We start from the raw sequence: 17,986 nt of genomic DNA, 5'->3' as shown, positions 1-17,986 counted from the left end.
CATCACACCTCAGTGCAATTCACCCCCTACATATTCAGTCTAACTGTGGCCACCCTAGTAACTAGCATGGGGCCTGACATATATTAGGTACTCAATAAATGCCATTTGAATGAATGAATGAATGAATGAATGAATGAACCTGATTCACTCATTAAACTCTATCCATCCTACCCAGTCAAACTCAGGTCACAGATTTACTGACAACCTCTTGGCTATATATATATAAATAAATAGAATCCTTGTCTTGTCTGAGGCTGGGCGCCGTGGCTCACGCCTGTAATCTTAGCACACTGGGAGGCCAAGGCGGGTAGATCATTTGAGGTCCAGAGTTCGAGACCAGCCTGGCCAATATGATGAAACCCCATCTCTACCAAAAATACAAAAATCAGCCAGGCGTGGTGGTGCATGCCTACAATCCCAGCTATTTGGGAGGCTGAGGCAGAAGAATCGCTTGAACCCAGGAGGTGGAGGTTACAGTGAGCTGACATTGCACCACTGGACTCCAGCCTGGGCAACAGAGCAAGACTGTTTAAAAAAAAAAAATCCTGCCAGGCACGGTGGCTCATGCCTGTAATCCCAACACTTTGGGAGGCTGAGGTGGGCCGATCATGGGTCAGGAGATCGAGACCATCCTAGCTAACACGGTGAAATCCCGTCTCTACTAAAAATACAAAAAGAAATTAGCCAGGTGTGGTGACGGGCACACGTAGTCCCAGCTACTCAGGAGGCTGAGGCAGGAGAATGGCGTGAACCTGGGAGGCGGAGCTTGCAGTGAGCCGAGATTGCGCCACTGCACTCCAGCCTGGGCGACAGAGCAAGACTCTGTCTCAAAAAAAAAAAAAAAAAAAAAAAAAATCCTTGTCTGAGAGGCACTGAGTTGAACAGACTCAATCTCAGTCCAGCAGGGTTGACTGAGTGATTCCATGACTGAAAAATAAGACAGTATCCTGAGGCTGACAGTGGGGAGGACGAGGAAGGAGCTACCATTTCTGCCCCTGAGGCTGGGGGCAGTAAGATTCCCCAGGATGGGTCTGTGAGGCTGGGGGGTTCCTTGGTCCACACAGCCAGTCCCACGGTATCTTGCACATTCCTTGGCACTTACATACCCACCAGGCAGTGCTTCTCCACCCACCTGCCCGACCAAACCCACTGAGGAAAAGCAGCAGGCATCCGCTGTTGCTGGACGCCCATCACCACGCTCACAAGGCTGGGCACAGAGCAGACGTCAATGGGCACGTGTTGAAAGGGTCAGCAAATGAGCCCCGGGGATGGGCACTCGGCCCTGAACGTGTCCAGTCCTGACCTTGAAGGCCCCCGCTCTAGCTTTCTAGAGGCTTCTCTGAGTGGCCAACAGTTCCTCATGGGGGCCTGACCAAGGTGGCTCTGTGCCCTCTGACCTTGGCTTCGGGTCTCTGCCTCCCAGAGTCCCCTCCTCCTCCTCACCTGGGCTTAACTTTTTCAGAGCATGTCCCCATCCCCAAGGGGAGGCACCGGGGAGTGACCGTTGTCCGGAGCCACCACGGTGTTTTGGTGAGTGCAGGAGCGAGAGGAGGGAGGGCCTTAGGGAGGCTGGTGCTAGCCCTCGTGGTTGACCCTGGTGTTGAGACCAGTTCTGACTGCCATGCTGTTCCCGAGGCTGAGTCTAGCGTCTCCCTGGTGCCAACCCCAGGGCTGACTGTAGCTCTGACCACCCTGATACCAGGGCTGACCTAGGTATTCCCTGTGACCCAGCACACTCCTGCAGGTGTCGGCCTCGGCCTTGATGCCAACACTGACTCCTACACCCGGTGAGGGGTGGGCCAGCTCTTCCTGTGCCCCCTGCCTGGTTGAGCCACTGAGTTCTGGAATGGGGGTGAGAATGTGGCTGTGGCTCGGGAATCGGGAGGTGACCTGGTGTTTCCCCACCCTCTCTTCCCTCCCACAGATATGCATTCAAGTGCTGGTCCGGCGGCCTCACAGCCTCAGCTCAGAACTCACAGGCACCTGTAGCCTCCTGGGCCCTGACCTCCGTCCCCAGGCTCAGGCCAACTTCTTCGACCTTGGTAAGGATTGGACATTCACTGGCCTTGGATAGCTCTAAAGAGATCTCCTTGGTCTCCAAGAAAAGGCACCAGCTCACGGCAGATGCAGTGGGACGCAGGCCCACAGTGGAGCAAGGCAGGGTTGAGGCATCACGTGAAAGGAATCAGGGCAGAACCATGTGTGAGCGTGCTCAGGCGAGGATGGAGCCTTTCTGACTCTGAGCTCTTCCATGTGTGTTTTTAAAGAAAATCTCCTGGATCCAGATGCACGTGTGGACACTGGAGACTGCTACAGCAACAAAGAAGGCGGTGGAGAAGACGATGTGAACACAGCCAGGCAGCGCCGGGCTCTGGAGAAGGAGGAGGAGGAAGACAAGGAGGAGGAGGAAGACGAGGAGGAGGAGGAAGCTGGTGAGAAGAGGCAGATCTGGGTTGCTCTGAGTCTATCAGAGCCAATTCCTAGGCTGGTGGCCTCCAAGGGTGAGGGGTGCCTCAGTCTGAGAGATGGGGAGCAGTGGCTGGACTTTACAGACCTGACCTGTACCAGCTCCACCCACTCTTTCTTATAAGTGGGGAAACTGAGGCTCAGAGAGTGGTAGTGATGGGAATGGCTCACACAGCACACAAAGCCTGACCAGGTTCTAGCTCTCTTTTTGAAGGGGGAGACAAAAGCTTCTCTCTTGGGGCCAGGTGAGGTGGCTCATGCCTGTAATCCCAGCATTTTGGGAGGCTGAAGTGGGCGGATCACTTGAGGTCAGGAGTTCAAGACCAGCCTGGCCAACATGGTGAAACCCCAACTCTACTAGAAAATTCAAAAATTAGCCAGGCATGGTGGTGTGCATTATAGTCCCAGCTACTTGGGAGGCTAAGGCAGGAGGATTGCTTGAACCCGGGAGGCGGAGGCTGCAGTAAGCTGAGATCCCACCACTGCCCTCCAGCCTGGGCAACAGAGTGAAGCTCTGTCTCAAAAAAAAAAAAAAAAAAAAAAAAAAAGCTTCCCTCTTGGGAGCTTCTCCAACTTCTTCCCTGAACTGAGCTGGTTGTCAGGGCTGCAGTGGGGGTGCATGCCCTACACATGCTACCCTTACATCTGCCTCACATCCCATGCCCACTCCTGACCTGTTTGTCTTGGCCAGGCACCGAGATTGCCATCATCCTGGATGGCTCAGGAAGCATTGATCCCCCAGACTTTCAGAGAGCCAAAGACTTCATCTCCAACATGATGAGGAACTTCTATGAAAAGTGTTTTGAGGTGGGCTTCCCTAAGAGCTGGTTAACACTTATCTATTGCTGAGAATCACCCTACCTCAGAACAACAATCACCACATTTGCTCACAATTCTATGGGTCACATACTTGGGCTGGGCTCAGCTGGATGATTCTTCTGTCCATCTTGCCTGGAGTTACCCTGGAGCTGCAGGCGTCTGGTTGCTTGACTGGGGCTGGATGGCCTAAGATGACCTCACTTACTTGTCTGGACCATGTGTCTTTAGCAGGCCAGCCCAACTTTTTCGTGGCAGCAACATTCTAAGAGGGCCAGATCCAATGCATGCAAGTATTTTTCAAGTCTCTAATTACATCACATTTGCTGATGTCTTATTGGCCAAAGCCAGTCACATGACCAATCCCATCGTCAGTATGGAGGGCACTACACAGGGAGCTGGGGAGAAGTCTGTGATTCACTGGGGGCCTTTACTATCGCACCCTTCTCCACCCCTACTCGCTTAGAGATTTTGCTCTGCCTTAGCATCTCTTTCTGCCCAGGGATAAGGTAGAAGGAGTGGATTTTTCTGCTGCTTCCAGCGGGAGACATTTCAGGGGCAGAGGTGGCAATTCTTCCAACCTCCTGCCCTCCTGCCCATCCCCTGCAGTGCAACTTTGCCTTGGTGCAGTATGGAGGAGTGATCCAGACTGAGTTTGACCTTCGGGACAGCCAGGATGTGATGGCCTCCCTCGCCAGAGTCCAGAACATCACTCAAGTGGGGAGTGTCACCAAGACTGCCTCAGCCATGCAACACGTCTTGTGAGTGTGGGGGCTGCAGGAATTATTCTGGCCATGCCCAGAGTCTCTGTGGCATCACTCATGGAGGAAGTGGCTGGCCAGAACCGCAGGAGAAGAGAATTAGGGCTCCAGCCTTTCCCTGGCCGAGAGAGAACGTGAGGGATGACACCTCAAGGCTGTCCTCCAAAAAGTCTTCCAAAGACTTCCTCTTGTGAGATGCAGGAGAGCAGAGTGCTCAGTGGACAGGCTGGCTGGGTTCAAATCTCAGCTCTGGTTTTTTTTTTTTGTTTTTTTTTTTGAGATGGAGTCTTGCTCTGTCACCCAGGCTGGAGTGCAGTGGCACGATCTCAGCTCACTGCAAGCTCCGCCTCCCAGGTTCACACCATTCTCCTGCCTCAGCCTCCCGAGTAGCTGGGACTACAGGCGGCCACCACCACGCCCAGTTAATTTTTTATATTTCTAATAGAGGTGGGGTTTCACCATGTTAGCCAGGATGGTCTCGATCTCCTGACCTCGTGATCCGCCCGCCTCGGCCTCCCAAAGTGCTGGGATTACAGGCGTGAGCCACCGCGCCCGGCCTCAGCTCTGGTTTGTATCTGTGTGACCCCGGGCAAACTGAAGGACCTTGTGACCTGTGCTTCAGTTTCCTCACTTTAAAAATGAGAAAAATAGGCTGAGCGTGGTAGCTCATGCTTGTAATCCCAGCACTTTGGGAGGCCAACACAGGTGGATCACCTGAGGTCAGGAGTTCAAGACCAGCCTGGCCAACATGGTGAAACCCCGTCTCTACTCAAAATACAAAGTTAGCTGGGTGTGGTGGCAGGTGCCTGTAATCCCAGCTACTCGGGAGGCTGAGGCAGGGAGAATTGCTTGAACTCGGGAGGCAGAGGTTGCAGTGAGCTGAGATCGTGCTATTGCACTCCAGCCTGGGTGACAGAGCGAGACTCCATCTATCTCAATAATAATAATAATAAAAATAAATAAATAAAATGAGAATAATAATAGTACTCACAGCTTGGAGCAGTGGCTTGTGCCTATAGTTCCAGCTACTCAGGAAGCTGAGGCAGGAGGATTGCTTGAGCCCAGAAGTTCAAGGATGCAGTGAGCCATGATCACACCACTGCACTCCAGCCTGGGTGACAGAGTGAGACGCCGTCTCTAAAAAAGAAAGAAAAATAATAGCACTTGCCTGATAGATTTTGTGATGGTTGGATGGCTTAAAATATACAGTGTTTACAACAGTGCCTGGCACATGATAAGTGCCATGTGAGTATTATCTATCGTTTTAATATCATGAGTCTTCCTGTACGCACACAAGAGGAATGGACTGCCAGGCAGTACCTTCCTGCTGGGAGCAGGTGAGAAGCAAGAACACCTGTGTTGCAGCCCTCCCTCTGCCCAGCCTCGCTGCGTGACTTAAGGGGGCATCACCCCCTTCTCTGGGTCTTTCGGGAGGATTGTGAACCCTCCCAATTCTAATACAGGTCAGAGAATAAAGTCTCTCCTGGAGCTCGGTCATCCTTCTGGCAAAGCTCTCTTCTTCATTTACTCTCCCCTGCTTAGAGACAGCATCTTCACCTCAAGCCACGGCTCCAGGAGAAAGGCATCCAAGGTCATGGTGGTGCTCACCGATGGTGGCATATTCGAGGACCCCCTCAACCTTACGACAGTCATCAACTCCCCCAAAATGCAGGGTGTTGAGCGCTTTGCCATTGGGGTAAGAGCCAGGAGCCGGGAGACACCTCCTGAACCTGCACAGCCTGGGGTGGGGAGAAGCCAGGGTTGTCGATGGGGGCTTTTCTGTAAGCAGCTTATCCAGACCCTGTTCTATTTGCAAATGCTCCTCTTCTCTCCATGCTCTGTCATCCCAGAGAGGGCTCATTTCCCCATGGTGGTCACAGCTTACTGGCCAAATAGTGGTGGGAGAGCCACAGGAAACACACCAAGGAGGGTTCCTGGAGGACCGCGGTGCCAAGCTGAGTCCTGCCAGACAAATGGGAGTAGCTGGCCTAGGGCACAGGGGAGGCAGAGAGGGGCCCTGCAGGCAGAGGGAACAGCATGTGCAGAGGTGAGGAGGAGCTTGGTGTATTCAGGAGAACAGGTGTACTTTGGTAAAACTGGAATTTTGCCCAGAGTATGGGTAGAACAGGGAGCAGGGAAAGGAGGAGAAAGGAAGGAAGGAGACAGGTAATGGAGGGCCCCAGAGGCCAGATGGAGGGGCTCAGCTCTCTCCCTGGGCCTGGGGAATCCACGCAGCGCTGACTCGCTGACCCAGGCTGTCTGTGCAGGTGGGAGAAGAATTTAAGAGTGCTAGGACTGCGAGGGAACTGAACCTGATCGCCTCAGACCCGGATGAGACCCATGCTTTCAAGGTGACCAACTACATGGCGCTGGATGGGCTGCTGAGCAAACTGCGGTACAACATCATCAGCATGGAAGGTGAGGGCTCCGGGACCCAGGCCACCGCAGGAGGCCCGAGCCTATGCTCCAGCCCGGCCTCTGTCCCATCTTCATGTGGTTTCTCTGAGCAACTCCCATCATCTCCCTGAACCTCAGCTCTTCCATGTCTAAAAAGGCAATGGCCGGGTGTGGTGGCTCATGCCTGTTATCCCAACACTTTGGGAGACAGAGGCAGGTGGATTGCTTGAGGCCAGGAGTTTGAGACCCGCCTGGGCAACATGGCAAAACCCCATCTCTACTAAAACAAAAAGTAGCTGGGGCCAGGTGTGGTGGCTCACGCCCATAATCCCAACACTCTGGGAGGCCAAGGCCGGTGGATCACCTGAGGTCTGGAGTTCAAGACCAGCCTGGCCAACATGGTGAAATCCTGTTTCTACTAAAAATACAAAAAAATGTAGCCAGGCGTGGTGGTGCATGCCTGTGATCCCAGCTACTCAGGAGCCCGAGACAGAAGAATCACTCGAACCCAGGAGGCAGAGGTTGCAGTGAGCCAAGATCGCGCCACTGCACTCCAGGATGGGTGACAGAGCGAGGCTCCATCTCAAAAAAAAAAAAAAAAAAATTAGCCAGGCGTGGTGGCGCATGACCTCTATTCCCAGCTACTTGGGAAGCTAAGGCACCAGGTCACTTGACCTTGGGAGGCACAAGTTGCAGTGAGCTGATATTGAGCCATGGCACTCCAGCCTGAGCAACAGAGTGAGACACTGTCTCAAAAAAAAAAAAAAAAAAAAAAAAAAAGGCCAACAATATCCCCAGGCCTCCTTGCGTCCCAGAATCTCCATGAAGCTCTGATGAACTGAGCTGGTGCTGGAGAAACAAGGATGGCTGGGGCATAGTCCCTTCTCCCAGGAGCTCACAGACGAGGAAACTGAGGCCTAGAAAGAGTGAACTGCCCAGATAGTAGTTGCTCAAGGAGAACCTGGGTCTCTACCCTCAGCCGGGTTCTCTTCCTGTTACACCAAGCATGGTTCCTTCTGGGAGTGAGGCCAAGCTGGACTGTCCCCTGACTCAGTTTCTCCCTTCACCTCGGCCCACAGCAGTCTCACTGGGCTTCTTGGCTTGCAGGCACGGTTGGAGACGCCCTTCACTACCAGCTGGCACAGATTGGCTTCAGTGCTCAGATCCTGGATGAGGTACGTGGCTGACTCAGCACCAGGCAGGCTTGCCCATTGGTGAGGGGCCCAGGACACCTAGGATTCAGGGACTCCTGCCTCCCATCCAGGGCTCTGCCCTACCTGTGGTGATTCCTGTAAAAGAGCGATTTTATTTTAATTAATTAATTTATTTATTTATTTTGAGACGGAGTCTTGCTCTGTCGCCCAGTCTGGAGTGCAGCGGTGCAGTCTCGGCTCACTGCAACAAAAGGGTGGCCATATTGATGACAGGAGGTCGCTTTTTTCTGTGTGCTCAAACATCCAGTTGTTCCCCTGAATACAGACCAGGCAACAGGACTCGGCCTGGGTCAGCTTATCAACCAAGCTGCTTGCTTCTCCCGGAGGAGGGAGTGCAAGGGCACGAGGCAGGAGCCCAGTGTTGGCCATCTCACCTTCCCGCCTGCATCTCTGGCCAGGCGGGCACTAGACCACCGAACGCCCCCCTGCTCCCAGCCAGGTTAGCCGCGCTGGCCCGGAGACCCGCGGCCACCGTGGCCCGGCCTTGGGTCCCTCCCACTCATCTGGGCCCCATCCCCGTCCCCTTCAGCGGCAGGTGCTGCTCGGCGCCGTCGGGGCCTTTGACTGGTCCGGAGGGGCGTTGCTCTACGACACACGCAGCCGCCGGGGCCGCTTCCTGAACCAGACAGCGGCGGCGGCGGCAGACGCGGAGGCTGCGCAGTACAGCTACCTGGGTGAGGGCGGGGCCACCTGATGAGGGCGGGGCCACCTGATGAGGGCGGGGCCTGGAGGCTCCCTGGGCGAGGGTGGGGCCTGAGGGCTACGTGGGCGAGGGCGGGGCCTACCTGGGCGAGGGTGGGGCCTGGGGGCTACCTGGGTGAGGGCGGGGCCTGGAGGCTACCTGGGCGAGGGTGGGGCCTGGGGGCTACCTGGGTGAGGGCGGGGCATGGAGGCCACGTGGGCGAGGGTGGGGCCTGGGGGCTACCTGGGAGAGGGCGGGGCCTGGAAGTTACGTGAGGAGGGTGGGGCCTGGAGACCACCTGGGTGAGGGCGGGGCCTAGAGGCCACCTGGGCGAGGGCGGGGCCGAGATGGGGACACCGAGGCTGCGCATTAGGCTGCACTTGAGGTTTCCGGATGGGGGCGGGACCTGGTCAGTCACATGGGCCGAGGGGCGGGTCCTGGTTAGGGACCGTGAGGCTGAGTACTACAGCCTCCTGGGTAGGTACAAGGCCTGTCAGGTACACACCAGGCACAGCAGCCACCCAGGGGAGGGCGGGGCCTCTCCATTAATAATAGTGGTGCAGTAGCTCACGCCTGTAATCCCAGGAGGCCGATGCGGGCGGATCATCTGAGGTCTGGAGACCAGCCCGGCCAACATGGCAAAACCCTGTCTCTACTAAAAATACAAAAATTAGCTAGGCGTGGTGGCGGATGCCTGTAGTCCCACGTACTCGGAAGGCTGAGGCACAAGAATCGCTTGAACCCGGGAGGGGGAGGTTGCAATGAGCCAAGACTGTGCCACTGCACTCCAGCGTGGGCGACAGACTGAGACTCTGTCTCAAAAATAAATAAATAAATAAATAAAAATAATAATAGTGGTGGGCGTCCTCTCACCCCTCTTCTCCGTCCTCCTAGGGTGTGTGTGGGAGCGTGGGTAGTGAATGTGTGCGAACGAGTATTTCGAGCAAAGCTGCATACGTGACAGACAGCGTGTGCATCATATCTGTGTGATGGGGATGTGTGTGACTGGCAAAGTGAGAGTGCTCGCTGATGCCGATTTTTAACATAGTGAGAAAGACAGTCTCTCCTATTTTGCCCCCCTCCCCAGGCCACTTTGAAGGCCTGACTGGGAAGGTGCCGGGGCCAAGAGAGAGGCCAGGTGGGAGCACACGGTGTGTTCACAGCCACACCACCCTTGCCCCAGGTTACGCTGTGGCCGTGCTGCACAAGACCTGCAGCCTCTCCTACATCGCGGGGGCTCCACGGTACAAACATCATGGGGCCGTGTTTGAGCTCCAGAAGGAGGGCAGAGAGGCCAGCTTCCTGCCAGTGCTGGAGGGAGAGCAGGTACCTGCTGGGGAAAGCCTCCACCCCTTATGACCGATGGGGAATCTGGAGGCCCCCAAGGGAAAGGAGTGGGTCCCACGGTGCACAGTGGGCCAGGGCCCGGGCTGGGTGAAACTCAGGCTCCTGAGTGGAGCTCGAGGGCTCTGCTTCAGCTCTGCATGTCTGATTGCTAGGCAGTTTCCTCCGCTGTGGGGCCTGGGCTGCTCCTCCACTCTTCTGTTACTCTCAGTGAGCAAATTGATATGTAACGACCCAAATTGGGTGGTCCAGGAAGCACGCGGGCAGGGGTGTAGCCTTGCTGAGGGGTGCAGGAGCGGGGCTCCTGGTGAGCTGAGTTCCTCCCGGGCTGTAGATGGGGTCCTATTTTGGCTCTGAGCTGTGCCCTGTGGACATTGACATGGATGGAAGCACGGACTTCTTGCTGGTGGCTGCTCCATTTTACCACGTTCATGGAGAAGAAGGCAGAGTCTACGTGTACCGTCTCAGCGAGCAGGTGGGAGAGTCTCCATCTTCATGAGCTTGCTGAGGCTGTGGCACTCAGCCTGACACAGAGGTGATGGAGGCTGGGAGTGCCCTGGCCCTGCCTGGCACCAGTGGGCAGTGATGGGGAGGTGCTCAGGCTGGATGGCGGCTGGGCGGGGCAGCGGCATCGCTCTCCGCACCCACTTTCTTACCCAAGGGTGATCGTTGATGATAATATCTCTAATATCTCTTTTTTTGTGGTTGTTGTTTTTGAGATGGAGTTTTGCTCTCGTTGCCCAGGCTGCAATGCAATGGCAGGATCTTGGCTCACCGCAACCTCTGCCTCCGGGGTTCAAGCAATTCTCCTGCCTCAGCCTACCAAGTAGCTGGGATTACAGGCATGGGCCACACACCCGGCTAATTTTATATTTTTGGTAGAGACAGGGTTTCTCCATGTTGGTCAGGCTGGTCTTGAACTCCCGACCTCAGGTGATCCACCCACCTCGGCCTCCCAAAGTGTTGGGATTACAGGCGTAAGCCACCTCGCCCAGCATTTTTTTTTTTTTTTCCGAGACTGAGTCTCACTCTGTTGTCCAGGCTGGAGTGCAATGGTGCAATCTCAACTTACTGCAACCTCTACCTCCTGGGTTGATTCTCCTGCCTCAGCCTCCCAAGTAGCTGGGATTACAGGCATGTGCCACTACACCCGGCTAATTTTTGTAATTTTAGTAGAGATGGGGTTCCGCCATGTTAACCAGGCTGGTCTCGAACTCCTGACCTCAGGTGATCCACCTACCTTGGCCTCCCAAAGTGATGAGATTATGGGCGTGAGTCACCGCGCCCAGCTGATAACATCTCTTACAGCTGCATGGTTGGCAAAGCCCGTTTAGTCCAGGATCTCACTTGTTTCTCATAGTAACTATGGGAGGTAGCTGCCACTCTCATCTTACGGGTGAGGAAGCTGGGGCTCGGCGAGCCTCAGTGATGCCGAGACTTGCTCAAGTGTACCTGGCATGTGTGTGGCAGAGCCACGAGTGAAACCCAGGCCTCCCATTTGCAGCAATGCACCCCTGCCCATGGAACTAGAGGGGGGCGGGCTCTGACTCCTGAACTTCCAGGTAGGAGGACCCCAGCTTTCCCCTGGTGCTCACTGTATGGCCTTGGGAAGGTCCCTGGCCAGTGAGCGTGCATCCTGGGTGGCAACGGAGTGGGCACCCACCAGCCCAGCGAGCGTGCATCCTGGGTGGCAACGGAGTGGGCACCCACCGGCCCAGTGAGCGTGCATCCTGGGTGGCAATGGAGTGGGAACCCACCGGCCCAGCGAGCGTGCATCCTGGGTGGCAATGGAGTGGGCACCCACCGGCCCAGTGAGCGTGCATCGGGGTGGCAATGGAGTGGGCACCTAGCACCCCTTCTTGAGGGCTGAGCTGTTTGTTTGCTTTACAGGATGGTTCTTTCTCCTTGGCACGCATACTGAGTGGGCACCCCGGGTTCACCAATGCCCGCTTTGGCTTTGCCATGGCGGCTATGGGGGATCTCAGTCAGGATAAGCTCACAGATGTGGCCATCGGGGCCCCCCTGGAAGGTTTTGGGGCAGATGATGGTGCCAGCTTCGGCAGTGTGTATATCTACAATGGACACTGGGACGGCCTCTCCGCCAGCCCCTCGCAGGTGACCCATGGGGCCCTCTCCTTCCTCTCCTCTGGGGCTCTGACCTCTCTCAGATATGATGACCCAAGCCCCAAGTCGGCTTCAGTCCTAAGTGCTGGGCAGGTCTCGGGGGTTGGGAATGCCCAGTGAAAGAAAGAAGTCCCCCAGGCTAGGGGGAGCTTCCAGACCAGGGCCTCACCTCAGCCCCTTCAGGTTGGGGGGAGGTTCCAGACCAGGGCTTCACCTCGGCCCCTTCAGGTTCAGGGGAGGTTGTGGCGGTACCTGTCTCCTTCCCTGGCCTATACCCCCTCCTTCCACCCACCTGCCTCGGGTCCCTGCTTCCTCTCTTTCTGTCCCTCGCTCCTGTCTCCCACCCAGCACCTCCGCGCCTTATCTCTCATTCCCCAGGGCTCCCTTGCCAGCCTCTCACACTGCATGTATTAACAGGCACTTCCACCCACCTCCAGCTCCTCATGAGCACCTCCACCTGGATGGCCCCCAGGCATCTCACTCCCACACGGCCCATCTGAGAGCACCTGCTTCCCCTAGAACTGATGCTCCTCTGAGACCTCATCCCCCTCCACACCCCACACCGGAAACCTCAGACAGTCCTCAGCACGCTCACAGCCTGCACAGCCTGTCAGTTCCCACGTCCTCATGATTCTAGCTGTCTCCCAACTCCAGCCCCTTCTCTCTATCCCCACCCCTGCGGTCCCAGCTCAGGCCTTGCCATCCCACTCCCAGCCCACCCAGCTTCCTCCTCCTCTCCATCTTCCACCCCATGTCTTCAGTGCCATTTCTAAAGTGTTATCCTGATTATGTCACTTCAAAACAACAGAACCTTTGTTGACACCCCCCATCCCCAAGCCCCACATCAAGCCTCCTTGTACCCCAATCCCCTGTGGTCCACCCCGTCCCTGGCCCTGGCTGCTTCTCAGAAGGCCCTGCTCTTTCCCCATGCCTCACTCTTTCCCTTACTCTCCCCTGTCAAGTCCCACCTGCCCTTCGAGGCTCCATCCAAATGCCACTTCCTCTGGGAAAGCTTGCTCCCTCTTTCCTGGTTCTAGACTCGGGGCTCCCTGGGGCTGGATGGTGCCTGCGATGCTGATCGGGATAGATCATGAAAGGACTCCCCGCCCCGTTTCCCTCCCTTCCCTCGCCCCACGCCTTGTGTTTCTGCCTCCACAGCGGATCAGAGCCTCCACGGTGGCCCCAGGACTCCAGTACTTCGGCATGTCCATGGCTGGTGGCTTTGATATTAGTGGCGACGGCCTTGCCGACATCACCGTGGGCACTCTGGGCCAGGCGGTTGTGTTCCGGTAGGGTTCTGTCCTGCTTTCTGGGGTCCCAGGCCCAGCCTCACCCATTTGCCCTGCTCTAAATAGCTCCATGCAGACATTAGGCACTGAGGGAGGGAGCCAGCACCGTGGTTGTGGGCACAGGCTCTGGAGTCTGCCCGTCTGGGTTTGAACCTCAGCTCTCAGCCCTCTCAGCCTTTGGGCAGGTTATTTAACTCTAAGACCTTACCTAGGAATTATAAGAGCACCTACCTCCCAGAGCTATGAGGATCATGCAAGCGAATATATACAAAGTATTTAGCACAGTGCTCAGCGATGGCTGTGATTGCAGAGTTTTTTGTTTTTTGTTTTTTTTCTGAGGCGGAGTCTTCCTCTTTTGCCCAGGCTGGAGTGCAGTGGTGTAATCTTGGTTCACTGCAACCTCCGCCTCCCAGGTTCAAGCAATTCTTCTGCCTCAGCCTCCTGAGGAGCTGGGATTACAGGTGTCTGCCACCACGCCCGGCTAATTTTTGTATTTTTAGTAGAGACAGGGTTTCACCATGTTGGCCAGGCTGGTCTTGAACTCCTGACCTCGTGATCCACCCATCTTGGCTTCCCAAAGTGCTGGGATTACAGGCATGAGCCACTATGCCTGGCCAAGAATTGCAGAGTTTTTGTGCCCCATCCCTCAGTGAATGATCAAGTCCCGTGGCTGTAAATGAGCTCATGGAGCGCCCGTCTGTCCCGTCCTCTCCAAGCTGCAGACTTGCTGTCTACCCAGCACCTCCCTGAGCTGCTGCTCACAGTCATCCCGAAGTGAACACGTCTAAAAACAGAGCTTTTGCTGGGCGCAGTGGCTCACACCTGTAATCCCAGCACTTTGGGAGGCCCAGGCGGGTGGATCACAAGGTCAGGAGATGGAGACCATCCTGGCTAACACGGTGAAACCTCATCTCTACTAAAAATACAAAAAATTAGCCGGGCATGGTGGCGGGCGCCTATAGTCCCAGCGACTCGGGAGGCTGAGGCAGGAGAATGGTGAACCCGGGAGGCGGAGCTTGCAGTGAGCGGAGATCGCGCCACTGCACTCCAGCCTGGGCGACAGAGCGAGACTCCGTCTCCAAAAAAAAAAAAAGAAAAACAGAGCTTTTATCTCCCCCCACCCTTCATTCCCCCAAATCTATCCTGCCCTCAGGCTTTCTGTCTCAGCAAATGGCATCATCATCCACCCAGCAATTCAGGATGAAAACGTAGGCGTCATCTTTGATGCCTCTTTTCCTTCCTCTCCACCACATCAACAAGTCTTAGTTGGCTCTGCCTCCAGACCAGTGCAGGCACTGTCTTCACTCCCTGGACACTGCTGCCACAGCCTTTCCTGCTTCCAGCCCCTGCGCTCCATTCTCCACACAGCAGCAGCCCTATCCCTTCACTCTGCTGCCTGAAACTCCTCCACGGCTCCTATTTAGAGTAAAATCCCAATTCCTCACCATGGCTTTACAGGGCTCTTCGTGGCCTGGCCCTTCCCGCCCCTCCATTCCCATCTCCTCCTCCCATCCTCTGTCTCACTAATTAGATTCCAGGCATGCTGACCTTTGTGCTCCTCAAACAAACCAAAAGTGTTCCTGCCACAGGCCCTTGGCACTGGCTGTGCTTTCTTCCTGGAGTGCTCTTCCCCAGATCCTCACACAGCTGGCTCTTTCTTGTTAACAAATCTCAACCGAAATGCCTCCTCATCAGCCACGCCATCTGTGACCACCCAGTCTCAGTAGCCCTCGGTCCTTATTACCGTATTTTTGTTGTTGTTGTTGAGATGGAGTCTTGCTCTGTCACCCAGGCTGGAGTGCCGTGGCAGGATGTCGGCTCACTGCAACCTCCGCCTCCCAGGTTTAAGCAATTCTCCTGCCTCAGCCTCCCAAGTAGGTGGGATTACAGGCGCCCGCCACCACACCCAGCTAATTTTTGAGTTTTTTAGTAGAGACGATGTTTCACCAAGTTGGCCAGGCTGGTCTCGAACCCCTGACCTCAGGTGATCCTCCCGCCTCGGCCTCCCAAGTGCTGGGATTACAGGCGTGAGCCACCGCACTCGGCCAACAGTATTTTAATTTTTCTCATAGCCTTGCCAATACATAGTATCTCCCTGTTTCTCTCGTTTATTTGCTTGTTGTCTGCTTTCCCACCAAAGCAGAAACTTGTCTCTTTCCCCACTGTACCCTGAGACTCAGGGATCACCTGGATGTGGGCATGTTTGATAGAGAACCATTGAATGCATGAACCAATCAGCCAGGCCCTGACCCAGAGGCTGAGCAGTCACTTCTCCCATCCTCTTTGCTGTCTTGTTTAGCTCCCGGCCTGTGGTTCGCCTGAAGGTCTCCATGGCCTTCACCCCCAGCGCACTGCCCATCGGCTTCAACGGCGTCGTGAATGTCCGTTTATGTTTTGAAATCAGCTCTGTAACCACAGCCTCTGAGTCAGGTAAAAAAATGGTCCAGCTGACCCCTGCCTGGTGTGATGGTCTTTCCTTTTTGGCTTCTGTAAGGGGCAGGGAAAGAGGACTGGGGCGGGGGGTGGGTGGGTGTTGGTCTGAGGTCCTGGTGCTTGAAATCCCTCGATTAGAGCTTAGCTCCTTAGTCTCCAGGTTTGTTAAATGCAAACTGCCTCAAGAAAGGGTGGTCTGAGGTTATGTCCACACTCAGAAGGGGTTTAGAGCTGACACTGTTGGGAAGAGGGACACTGGGGCCCTTCCTCAGGGTTGAAGGGTTGAGTTTCTGAAAAAAAAGACTCAGAAGGCCGGGCGCGGTGGCTCACGCCTGTAATCCCAGCACTTTGGGAGGCCAAGGCGGGCAGATCACGCGGTCAGGAGATCGAGACCATCCTGCCTAACATGGTGAAACACCGTCTCTACTAAAAATACAAAAAATTAGCCGGGCAGGTGCCTGTAATCCCAGCTACTCGGGAGGCTGAGGCAGGAGAATAGCATGAACCCAGGAGACGGAGCTTGCAGTGAGCTGAGATCGCACCACTGCACTCCACGCTGGGTGACAGAGCGAGACTCCGTCTCAGAAAAAAAAAAAAGACTCAGAAAAAGGCAGCCATTTCTCCATGCCCACGTGTGTGCGTGTGTGCGGGGGCTTCTGAGACACACCCTCCTCTTTCTCTCTGACTTGTGTCTTCTCCCCTTCCCTCCTCACTATGTGCCTCCGGCCCAGGTGGGATTGGATCACCTGTTGGAGGCCTGGTTTCTCTTTCCTTACCTGAAACTCATTAGGAGACTGTTCCCAGAAAGGAGGTGGTGGGCATGGCTTTCACAGCCCAGGTATTTACTGCTCATCCAAGAGCTCCCCCCTGGAACGATTCCTCAGCAACAGTCCCCGAGGTTTAATCTCTCAGGAGCAATCTCTGAGATGGTCTCTGCCTCCCACAGTCAGAGAGCAGTCTCCTGGGGTGGGGTGGCTTTCCCAAAGCAGCAGGCTATTATCCACCTGGGGATTGAAAATGACAGACCTGGCCGGGTGTGGTAGCTCACGCCTGTAATCCCAGCACTTTGGGAGGCCGAGGTGGGCAGATCACGAGGTCAGGAGATCGAGACCATCCTGGCTAACACGGTGAAACCCCGTCTCTACTAAAAATACAAAAATTAGCCAGGTGTGGTGACAGATGCCTGTAGTCCCAGCACTTTGGGAGGCCGAGGCGGGTGGATCACAAGGTCAGGAGATCGAGACCATCCTGGCTAACATGGTGAAACGCCGTCTCCACTAAACAAAATACAAAAAATTAGCCAGGTGTGGTGGCGGGCGCCTGTAGTCCCAGCTACGGGGGAGGCTGAGGCAGGAGAATGGTGTGAACCCGGGAGGCGGAGCTTGCAGTGAGCCAAGATCGCGCCGCTGCACTCCAGCCTGGGTGACAGCGAGACTCTGTCTCAAAGGAAAAAAAAAAAGAAAAAAGAAAAAAAAAAGAAAATAACAGACCTGTCCCTTCCAGGACACAGAGCTCGATGGGCTGTGCGATGCTGGGCAAGTGTCTCTCCCTAGCTGAGCTGGTTCTGTTCTGTACAGTAAGAGAGGCGGCCCCGGGATCTCCACGGTGCTTCCAGCTGTGCCGTCCTGGGGTTTTTCTCCGCAGAGTCCCTCTTTCCCTCTCCATTCTCTTTGTTGTCTCTCTTCCTCCTTATTTTCTTCTTCAATCTCGATCCCCTTCCCGAGCCCTCCTTCCCTAAAGAAGGCTGACTCAGTCCTGGGAATGTGCTGCTCCGGGTTTGGGGCGGGAGCACTCAGAGACCCTGGTCAGGTGTCAGAAGACGGTGAGAAAAATATCTTTGAAAAACCGACGCAGGAGTCCAGCCGCAGGGAAGTACCTGCATGGGGACACTGTTCAGGAGGGGCCACAAGGAACCTCAGGCAGGCTGGGGGCCTTCTGTCTGCGGCTGGCTCATCCCCACCTCATCGGGAAGGTCTGGTCTTCATTCCCAGGCCTCCGCGAGGCACTTCTCAACTTCACGCTGGATGTGGATGTGGGGAAGCAGAGGAGACGGCTGCAGTGTTCAGACGTAAGAAGCTGTCTGGGCTGCCTGAGGGAGTGGAGCAGCGGATCCCAGCTTTGTGAGGACCTCCTGCTCATGCCCACAGAGGGAGAGGTAAGTGACGGAGTTTGGATGGGAGTCAGGAGGGGTCTTTGTCATTGAGAAAGGATTTGAGGTGATGCAGTGAAGGGCACATACCCAGACCTACAAATGAGGTGATTAAAATAATCATAACAGGCCAGGCACGGTGGCTCACGCCTGTCATCCCAGCACTTTGGGAGGCCAAGGCGGGGGGATCACTTGAGGTCAGGAGTTCGAGACCAGCCGGGCCAACACGGTGAAACCCTGTCTCCACTAAAAACACAAAAATTAGCCGGGCGTGATGGCGGGTGCCTGTAATCCCAGCTACTCGGGAGGCT

At 55.4% G+C, this 17,986-nt stretch overlaps 1 protein-coding gene across 3 annotated transcripts in view, besides 1 other annotated feature; it reads left to right on the top strand.

Moving 5' to 3' along the window:
* The window catches only part of ITGAE (integrin subunit alpha E), an 86,561-nt gene that overhangs the window by 37,744 nt on the left and 30,831 nt on the right, over positions 1–17,986 (top strand). For all 3 annotated transcript variants that reach the window (NM_001425071.1, NM_001425072.1, NM_002208.5), the window contains exons 4-18: positions 1,463–1,530; positions 1,925–2,042; positions 2,268–2,432; positions 3,158–3,273; positions 3,892–4,043; positions 5,586–5,739; positions 6,311–6,461; positions 7,548–7,615; positions 8,184–8,328; positions 9,520–9,662; positions 10,015–10,155; positions 11,571–11,795; positions 12,963–13,093; positions 15,393–15,523; positions 17,518–17,681. In NM_001425071.1, the coding sequence (NP_001412000.1) occupies positions 1,463–1,530; positions 1,925–2,042; positions 2,268–2,432; positions 3,158–3,273; positions 3,892–4,043; positions 5,586–5,739; positions 6,311–6,461; positions 7,548–7,615; positions 8,184–8,328; positions 9,520–9,662; positions 10,015–10,155; positions 11,571–11,795; positions 12,963–13,093; positions 15,393–15,523; positions 17,518–17,681 (2,072 nt within the window). The remainder of the gene's footprint in view (positions 1–1,462; positions 1,531–1,924; positions 2,043–2,267; positions 2,433–3,157; positions 3,274–3,891; positions 4,044–5,585; positions 5,740–6,310; positions 6,462–7,547; positions 7,616–8,183; positions 8,329–9,519; positions 9,663–10,014; positions 10,156–11,570; positions 11,796–12,962; positions 13,094–15,392; positions 15,524–17,517; positions 17,682–17,986) is intronic.
* Positions 7,601–8,304: an enhancer, noted in NCBI's record as "H3K27ac hESC enhancer chr17:3658435-3659138 (GRCh37/hg19 assembly coordinates)". NCBI's record gives its function as "activates a minimal SCP1, AML or CMV promoter by ChIP-STARR-seq in primed H9 embryonic stem cells {active_cell/tissue: H9 hESC(primed)}" and the evidence as "EXISTENCE:reporter gene assay evidence [ECO:0000049][PMID:30033119]".

Source organism: Homo sapiens, chromosome 17, assembly GCF_000001405.40.
Source record: "Homo sapiens chromosome 17, GRCh38.p14 Primary Assembly".
In the NCBI taxonomy this organism is placed as follows: domain Eukaryota; kingdom Metazoa; phylum Chordata; class Mammalia; order Primates; family Hominidae; genus Homo; species Homo sapiens.
Note: the sequence above shows the minus strand (reverse complement) of the source record. Positions and strands in the feature narration are given on the sequence as shown.